At 46.7% G+C, this 9,914-nt stretch overlaps 1 long non-coding RNA gene across 1 annotated transcript; it reads right to left on the reverse strand.

Moving 5' to 3' along the window:
• Positions 1–1,188: 1,188 nt before the first annotated feature.
• On the reverse strand, positions 1,189–6,222 carry LOC124905973 (uncharacterized). The gene is made up of 3 exons (XR_007086215.1): positions 6,078–6,222; positions 1,865–2,062; positions 1,189–1,711 (listed from the first exon to the last, which is right to left on the reverse strand). It is a non-coding gene; the product is annotated as an uncharacterized LOC124905973 (long non-coding RNA).
• Positions 6,223–9,914: the final 3,692 nt, after the last annotated feature.

Here is a 9,914-nt window from a genome sequence, read left to right on the forward strand (position 1 = left end):
TTAGGCGCCACTGACACCCTTAGTGAAGCCGTTCTAATAATGCAACAGAGGCTTGGATAGTCTCTGACTCTATGAAACAATAATAGAAAGTCAGGGTGTTTACTCATTGGTCGTATCCTAGCAACAGCGTGTTCTCAGCAAGGGTAAGTGTTCTAGAACGCGAGACCAAATTATACGAGAACATAATGTTCTAGAATGTCTGCATGCATTTGCCAGCCGATTTCTTCTCAGAGGTACTCAGGAGATGCTTGAAAATTACCCCCCTTTCCTCTGAATTTGAAGGTAGTTGATAACAAGCATTTATTATGTTAACAGAACTTAAATGCTTGGCCAGGGTCACCTCCCAGAATTCAAAGTTAGCATGAGGGGGAAGAGGATTAAGAGCAGCGTCCCCGCAGGGAAAATGAGCTGTGAGTTGTACCTTGCCACTCTTAAATCAAACATCGCTGACTGTTCTTCAGAATCACTGTGGGATTATTTGTTCTCCAGAGAATATGTGAACAATGCATTCCTTTCCCCGCTCTTTGGATCCTGCCCGTCAGTGGTGGCTGACTGGAGCAGCTTTTATGGATGCACAGAAAATTGGAGGAGGTCTTATTAGGCTTCTTCCTCCAATGCTGCCATTCCCATTCAGGACCCTTCTGGGAATCCTGCACACTCATGGGGAGCCCTTGGCACTCCGTGCATGGCATTTGTTCTGTTCTACCATCCCCCCAATAGCTGGGCGTGATCTGGTCTCTGAGTGAGGTTGGGCGGTTCCCTCAGTGGTGCTCTCTTGAACCCCAGAGCCCTTTGGACCCATCCTTCTGTCCAAGTCCTCCTAGCCAGCCCCCTTGGCCCAGCCAAAAGGCTCCCCTGAAGCAGCCCCCAAGCATGAGCTGGTCCGGACTGCCCTGAGGTCCTCCTGCTGCCAGCTTCCTCGTAGGACACCCTGCTCTGTCTCTAGTCCCACTTCTGCCCAGCCCAAGGCCTGATACCCAGTGACTTCCTGAGGACATGTGAGTGTCTGATCCTGGGCTGCTGGCCTGGGCCCCACGTGTCCACACCACTGGCTGCCACCCTAACTGCTCAGAGCTCCCTTACTGGGTGGCACTCTTCCCAGCGCACTCAGGGAGGGGTTGAGCTCGCTTATCAGAGCCCAGCTCGTTGAGCAGGCATACAGTAGGCGCTTAAAAAAAAGTCAATGGATTAAAATATTGGCAGAATAGAAATGTTCTGCCTGTTTTAATGTGAAACTTTTTTTTTTTAAATCATTTTCTTTGCTCTGCTGGAAGGATGGCATGTAATTATCCCCTGCCTCATAACATAGGAAGTTAAGCTCTCCTTGTCCTGGAGGGAAGAGGAACCGATACAGAATTTCAGTGGCTCTGGACTCAAGGGCCACTAAGGTCAACTGTGAAAGGGTAAGATTTGTTTTGGGGAGCGAGTAAACTGGCATGGAGGAATAAAGAAGGGCAAGAGAGAGGGGTGACTAGAGGAGCTCGCCTGCATTCAGGGGGCTCTCAGAGGAGCCCTGGAAGCCTGGGTGTGGGCTTAGGAAGTCACTCAAGGATGGAGAGGCAGTGGCGGAGCCAGCGGAGTCCCCCCACGAGGGCCTTGTTCAGGTGCGGAAGACAGCCTGTGGATGCCTCCAGTTCTGCAAGAGCCTTCCCTGGCTGGCACCTGGGCTGATGCAGCAGATCCTCCTGTGGGTGCCGGAGGGTCTTCAGCCCTGATGTTGAAGCATCACAGAAGCTGCACTCTGGGACCTGAGACCAGGCCGGCTCTGTCTGATGACTCAGTCAACATTCAGGGCCTACAACCACTGACCTCCCACCAAGACACACACAAGGAACTCGCGCTCTGACCCAGGGGTACAGCTCACCCTTTCACGCGTGCAGGCCTGGGCTTCCAGAGGCTTCCCAGTGTGCCTGCCCGAGGTCACATCTCCAGCAGGGGCAGCCCTGGGTTGGGAACACGGGCCTCTGATTCCAAGCGAGCTCCTCCATTCCTGGCGGCTTCAGGAGAGCTCCTGGGGGTGCTCCGAGGCTTGTTCTCCTCTTCTGTCTGGATGAATAAGATTCTGGAGAATCAAAGACAAGAGGCCTGCAATTAAATTCTATTTTAAACAAGAAATGAAGACACTGCTTAAAATAAGTTCTGTGGAGATATGTGAAATGTAATGTTAATGAAGGTATTGGGTATTTACTGAGAGCCAAATACTGTTGTAAGCTTGTTACAAGGTCCTGTATCCTCAATCCTTAAAACAACTCCCTTACATTGGCTCTGGAGAGGAAGCCAGATGGCTGCTGGCTTTTTCCTTACAAAGCAACACCTCCAGACACCTGGTTTGTGGCTCGGGATGCCAGAAAATGGTGCTCCTTTTGCACATTGGTAACTATTTCCATGTAGAATACTTCTGGAAACTGGAGATCATCAACAGGTTCTGCAAACAAAGCCCAGAGAACAATTGTGACCCTGCTCAGGGTGTTTTCTTCCCACTGCATTAGCCTGAGAACAGTCTTCCGTGTTCCTGTTGGAGGCTCAAGGGAGAACTAAGTTAGACATAACCATGGTAACTAACATGCAATTAACTCCAATCACTGCTAATCGCTGGGTTAGAATTTCCTCCTTAGAGTCTTAGAAGAGTACTGTGAGACACATACGTCCTACCATGCAGGGGCTGTTCCTGTGGCTTTGAGACTGTGGCAACAGTGGCAGGTACTGTGGGGTGACCCCAGTCTCCATTCAAGATCCCTGGGCTCCGGGCCCAGCCTCCTACCCGGCCTGTGTGATCTCAGGCAAGTCACTTCCCTCCTGATCCCTCGGAGTTCCCTTATGAAAGGGGAATGATACTTCACGGCTGCCTTGACTTCTTATAAGAATACAAAGAGTTAAAGCTTAGGAAACATATATTGTAAGCAATATGTCAATGTCAGGGTTCCCTGCCTTACTCTTCAGCCCCAGGAAGTGACTTGTGGGTGGTAGAAGTTGGATGATACATCTTTTGAATTTTTTTTCAAGCTTTTTTATGATGGTGTATTAGTCTGTTCTCACATTGCTATAAAGAACTACCTGAGACTGGGTAATTTATAAAAAAAATAGGTTTAATTGGCTCATGGTTCCATGGACTGTACAGGGAGCATTGCTGGGGAGGCCTCAGGAAACTTTCAATCATGGCGGGAGGCAAAGGGGAAGCAGGCACATCCTACAAGGCTGGAGCAGGAGGAAGAGGGTGGGGGGTGGGGTGCTACGCACTTTTAAACAGCCAGATCTCATGAGAACTCACTCACTATCACGAGAACAGCAAGGGGAAAGTCCACCCGCATGAGCCAATCACCTCCCACCCGGCCCCTTCTCCAACACTGGGGATTACAATTCGACATGAGATTTGGGCCGACACACAGACCCAAACAATATCATTCTGTTCCTGGCCACTCCCAAATCTCATGTCCTTCTCAGATTTCAAATACAGTCGTGTCTTCCCAACAGTTCCCCAAAGTCTTTTTTTTTTTGAGACAGAGTCTCACTCTCTCACCCAGGCTGGAGTGCAGTGGCCTGATCTTGGCTCACTGCAACCTCTGCCTCCTGGGTTCAAGTGATTCTCCTGCCTCAGCCTCCCGAGTAGCTGGGTCTACAGGCACGTGCCACCATGCCAGGCTAATTTTTGTATTTTTAGTGGAGACAGGTTTTCACTATGTTGGCCAGGCTGGTCTCAAACTCCTGACCTCAGGTGATCTGCCTGCCTCAGCCTCCCAAAGTGCTGAGATGACAGCTGTGAGCCACCGCCCCCGGCCGCTCAATAACCTTTATCTCCCACAAGATTCCCCCCACATATTTACCTTATCACAATTTGCTGCCTCTAGGAACCCAAATGCCTTGTCTTTTGTCTTGCCGTTTCTCTACAAATTATTACCTTTTGTTATTGTGAAAGGAAAAACATCTCGGGATCCCCAAATCACTAAGCCAAAAGATAAGTCAAGCTGGGAACTATGTCAGGCAAACCTGCCTCCCATTTTATTCCTAAATAAGATAGCTACAAAGATAAAAAACCTACATGCCTCCCTCACAATTTGCCCACAGGGGAATTCCTTGTGGGGCTCAAGATCTTTACCCTAAAACAGTTCTGTTGAATTTCACCCTGGCAATGTAAACTGTTAGCTCGCCTTCACAGGTGTGGGACAGAAAGTTATCCCTCTGCTTACCTGAGACAAATGCCTATCTGTTGCTTCCTCTGCCCTGTTGTTTATGTGAAACTGCAGATTCCCTGAGCCAGAGTAAACTGTGTATTCAGTGAAAGGCTAATCAAGGACTCAAAATAATGTAACTGGCCGAGCGCAGTGGCTCAGGCCTGTAATCCCAGCACTTTGGGAGGCTGAGGTAGGTGGATCACTTGAGTCCAGAAGTTTGAGACCACCTTGAGCGACATGGCAAAACCCTGTCTCTACTAAAAATACAAAAAATTAGCCTGGCATGGTGGCAGGTGCCTGTAATCCCAGCTACTCAGGAGGTTGAAGAGGTAGGATCGCTTTAGCCTGGGAGGTCAACGCTGCAGTGAGCCACAATCACACCACTGCACTCCAGCCTGGGTGACACAGCCAGACCCTGTCTCAAAAGCAAAACAAGGTGACAACAAAAAACAATGCGACCTTTGTCTGTTGTCTGCTTATGACCTGGAAGCCCCTTGCTTCTAGTTGTCCTGCCTTTCCGGGCCAAACCAATGAATATCTTACACGTATTGACTGATGTGTCATGTCTCCCTAAAAGGTGTTAAAGCAAGCTGGGCTGGGCGTGGTGGCTCACGCCTGTAACCCCAGCACTTTGGGAGGCTGAGGCAGGTGGATCACTTGAGGTCAGGAGTTCAAGACCAGCCTGGCCAACATGGCGAAACCCCATCTCTACTAAAAATACAAATAAATTAGCTGGGTGTGGTGGTGCACACCTGTAGTCCCAGCTACTCAAGAGGCTGAGGCATGAGAATTGCTTGAACCTGGGAGGCGGAGGTTGCAGTAAGCCAAGATCGTGCTACTGCACTCCAGCCTGGGCGATAGAGTGAGGCTCAGTCTCCAAAAAAAAAAAGCAAGCTGTGCCCCTACCATCACCATCTTGGGCACATGTCTTGAGGACCTCCTGAGACTGTGTCAGGGCACAGCCTTAACCTTGGCAAAATAAACTTTCTAAATTGATTGAGATCTGTCTCGGATACTTTTGGGTGCACAGTTACAGCGGCATATAAGCCCTCAGGTCTACCTGTCTCTTTGGATCCTCATTTCTTTTCTGTGAAGGCCTCCATGTGCACATGAAAATGAAAATTACATCAAGTAAAATCTATATGCCTTTCCCCCTGTTAATCTGTCTTTTTTCAGCTTAATTCACAGACCCTCACTATAGAATGTAAGACAGTAGAGGAAAGCATTTTTCCCTCCCTTATAGCAGTAAGGATATTCACATCGTGCAACTATCACCACCTTCCTCTCCAGAACTCTTTCATTATCCCAAACTGAAACTCTATGTCCATTAAACAATAACTCACCACTCCTCCTTCCCTCCAGCCCCTGGCAATCACCGTTGTATCATCTGTCCTTTTGAATCTGACTGCCTTAGGTACCTCATACAAGTGGAATCATTCAGTACTTATTCTTTTGTGACTGGCTCTCTTCACTTAGCATGTTTTCAAGGTTCATTCATGTGGGCGCATGCATCAGGATTTCTTTCTTTTTAAGACTGTGTGATATTGTGATATTATATACATACATACTTGGTTTATGTCCTGGCAGCGAGCTCCTAAAACCCTTGCAATTTCCTGACTGATGGGGTGATAGAAAGATCTTTTGTTAGGATATTTGGTCTTAGTCTTTGGTTCCTGACGTAAGAGCATCTAAGGCCCTTGTATCACCAGATGAGTGTCTTTCTGTAGGCTAATGAGATGATTGGTGGATGGGCGCCCCTAGATACCTTTAGGAGGAGGGCTGGCCTCCAGAAAGACCAAGGTATTACTAGAGGGTTGGAACTTTCAGCTTCAATCCCCAATCTCCAGAGAGGAGAGAGGGACTGGAAATTAATCAGTCACCTAGAACCAACGATTTAATCAGTCATACCTTCATAACGGAACCTCCATGAAAATCCTAAACAATGGGGTTCAGCGAGATTCTGAGTTGGTGAACACATTGAGGTACTGGGAAGGGAATCCACTCAGAGAAGGCGTGGAAGCTTCTCCCCCTTCCCGGATACCATGCTCTGTGCATCTCTTCCATTTAGCTGCTTTTGAGTCATATCCTTTATGAGAAGGTGGTAATAGTAGGTATGTGCCTTCCTGAGTTCTGTGACCTCTTCTAGCAGATTATTGAACCAGAGGAGGGCATTGTGAGGACCACTGATTTACAGCTTGTTGGTCATAAGTACAGGAGGCCCACCCTTGGGATTGGTGTCTGAAGTGGGAGCAGTCTTGTGGGACTGAGCCCATAGCCTGTCTGATGCTAACTCCAGAAAATAGTGTCAGAATTGAATTGAGTCATTGTATATCCAGTTGGTTTCTGGAGAGTTAGAGAATTGGTGGTTGATGTGGAAAAAAACCCATTCATTTGGTGTCATAAGTGTCGGGAATAGAAACAGATCATGGCAATAGGCTGAGTGATTTTTCATTGTGTGTATATAGCACAACTTGCTTATCCATTCATTCACTGATGGACACATAGGTTGTTTCCACCCTTTGGTGAAAACAATATTCCTTATTGTGAATAATGCTGCTATCACATGGGTGTACAAATATCTGTTCAAGTCCCTTCAGTTCTTTTGAGAATATATACCCAGAAGTGGAATTGCTGGGTGAAATGGTAATTTTATGTTCAAGTTTTTGAGGAACTGTCATACTATTTTTCACATGGCTATACCATTTTATATTTCCACCAGTTATGCACAAGGGTTCTAATGTCTCAACATCCTCACCAACACTTGCTATGTTCTGTTGTTGTTGTTGTGGTTGTTTTCTATAATAGCCATTCTAGTGAGTGTGAAATTGTATTTCATTGTGGGTTTGATGTGTGTATCCCTAATGACTAAGGATCTTGAGCATTTTTTCATGTGCTTATTGGCTACCTGTGTATTTTCCTTGGAGAAATGTCTATTCAAATCCTTTGCCCTTTCTCTTTTTTTAAGAAAATATTTTCTCATTCTTGCAAATAATTTTTGCCATTTCTTTCTTTATCTTATGTATATATACTACTATGCTCTTTAAAATTTTTGTCCTCCTCTTCCAATATTTCTGCTTCAGACACGAAATGATGCTTACCTAGCTGGCTTTGTTTCATGGTAGTTGTCCTCAGGAATCTGGTTACATTGGCCTATGAGCTCAGAACCCCATGAGAATGGGGTTTTGGTTACTCCCTCTGGAAATGTGTTCTTGGGAAGGGTCAAAGGCCATGCCCATGTCCATCCCTGCGTTTAATGGAAGGAGAGAAATGGACCCTAGGTTGAAGACCTCCAGATCTCAGATTCACTGGATTTTTGTCTCTTCACCTGGCAACTGCATTCTTCAGAGTTGTACCACCAACCCCCCAGGGAAAAGCAGTCTTGGGCAGAGCCGGTCTCCTCAGATCCCAGGGCTGTGGGTGTCTGTGGGTGAGTGACTGGGGTTGAATGCTCTGTCCTCACCTGTTTTTATCAAATCCTCACCCTGGCAGGAATCATGGATTGCCGTGACATTATTTCAGACACCAGGAGCAGCTGCCTGTCCTGAAGGGCCAGGCAATGGCTGCACCAAGCCTTGCAGAACGGGGACCAGAGTGGAACTTAGAAATGCCTTCTTGCCTACCTTTTTTTTTTTTTTTTTTTTTGAGATGGACTTTCACTCTTGTTGCCCATGTTGGAGTGCAATGGCATGATCTCGGCTCACCACAACCTCTGCCTCCCGGGTTCAAGTGATTCTCTGGACTCAGTATCCCGAGTAGCTGGGATTACAGGCATGCGCCATCACGCTGGCTAATTTTGTATTTTTAGTAGAGACGGGTTTTTTCCATGTTGGTCAGGCTGGTCTTGAACTCCTGACCTCAGGTGATCTGCCTGCCTCGGCCTCCCAAAGTGCTGGGATTACAGGCGTGAGCCACTGTGTCCGGCCTCGCCTACCCTCTTATTGCCCCCTCTGGCTGTCTTCCAGGCTGTAGCTCCCTATGCCACCACCTCGATGCCAGTCCCACTCCAACCAGTAAGAACCAGAGCATCTACCCCACACTGGGCATGGACACTGAAAGCCAAAACACCCTACTGTGTGTATGAACCTCACTTGATGTTATTCCTGTCTTCATCAGCACGACTTTATTTTCCCAGGAGTCACCATCAAGCCCAGGCAGATGGCTTGATAGTTCTTATAGGAACTTCTGGAAAGACTCATCTACTCTCTGATGGAAAACATCAACAGGTAGTCTTTGAATTCTTTGCCTCAAAATCCTCACCTTCCTCTGTCTACCATGTCCAGACTGACTGTTGCATCATGGCTGTTACCCAGTGCTGATCAGATTTCCTCATTTGAAACGCCCCCCCCTTAAATCAAACTTCCAGTTCTCAATAAATTGTGGCCGTGCCTTCTCCTTCCCGTCTGAAACACACCAAACTTCGGGAGGTGGCCTCCCTTTCCATAAGGGGACACACCCAGACACACACCTGCTCTGTTTTCTCAACAGGTGCTGGTGATGCTGGTGGCAGCTGTTGACACCAGGCACCACTTCTGATAGCTGTCGGCTGTCCAGATTTCAAAAATCTCATTGTTCTTGTCATTTGTTCCTCTGGTCTGTTTCTCTTGCTCTGTAATTTCTCCAGGTGGATTCTAGGGAAGGAGGCACTAGGGCAGCAACCGTTTCCATCTCAGCTCATCCTGCCTTCTAGTGGAACTCACATTGTTACCTCGTAGATGGTCCAGGATAGCGTGCCAATTTCTGAGTTGGTTTAATCAACCCCCTACCTTCATTTTGTATTTTCCTGTGATTGACCCTGAAATCCAACTAATCTTGATGGGCATTTCAGTTTCAATCAGGAAGGAAATTTGTTAATCATGTGACTCAAACACAGTGGTGATCTAATAATGGAGTAATAATATCAGCTTAATTATCCCTGCTCCTTGTGACTATTTTTAAAATATAAAGTCTGAAGGCAGTGAATAATTACATACCAGTAGATGTTTCAGTGGTTTAAAAATTTCTTATTTTCGAATTCTAGGTATCTTGTTAGTGTAATGGGCATTTTAATTCGTATGCAATAAAAAGCCATGTATTTACAAAAATTAAATACGGTATCGAAGTCCTGGCTGTTTCAGCTGTAATTACTGACTGTGATAGTACTGGCAATATCCCTCCCGCCGAGTTCCTGTGGTAACTTAGTTGCCTCTGACATTGTTGAAAAGACAATGAGGGGAAAGGAGCACACTCAGGATTTGAAGCCAGACAGACCCAGGTTCAAGTCCTGGCTGTGCCACTTACTAGGTGGGATGTAGATCAGAGTTGGTGACCTTTCTGATCCTTGGTTTCCTTAGATATAAATAAAAATATTTTTATCTCATAGGATTCTCAGAATGATGTTTACTGTTATTGTTTGTTTGAGTGAAGCAGATACCATCTTAGGTTTTCAAAGTTATCATATCACACCCGACACCACCAAGGACTTGGATACCTTTCCTCACCCAGCATATCCCATAATCTACAAAGATGAACAGATCCTTCAAAATAGGAAGAAGGGCATGTATTCATTAAAAAATGACCGTGATGGGGAAAGGTTGGTGGAATCTGAATATGGATAAAACCTCAGCTTCTGCAGAAATCCCTAAAAAGAGACGAGGGGTCCCTTGCCTGGCTGACTAAGGATACAGGCTAACTGTGACCTGAATGTTAACACGAGAGAGAGCCGAGTGTGTCAGACCACCGGAGGAGCTTGGCAGAAAAGTTTAGAAC

Source organism: Homo sapiens, chromosome 2, assembly GCF_000001405.40.
Source record: "Homo sapiens chromosome 2, GRCh38.p14 Primary Assembly".
Lineage (NCBI taxonomy): Eukaryota > Metazoa > Chordata > Mammalia > Primates > Hominidae > Homo > Homo sapiens.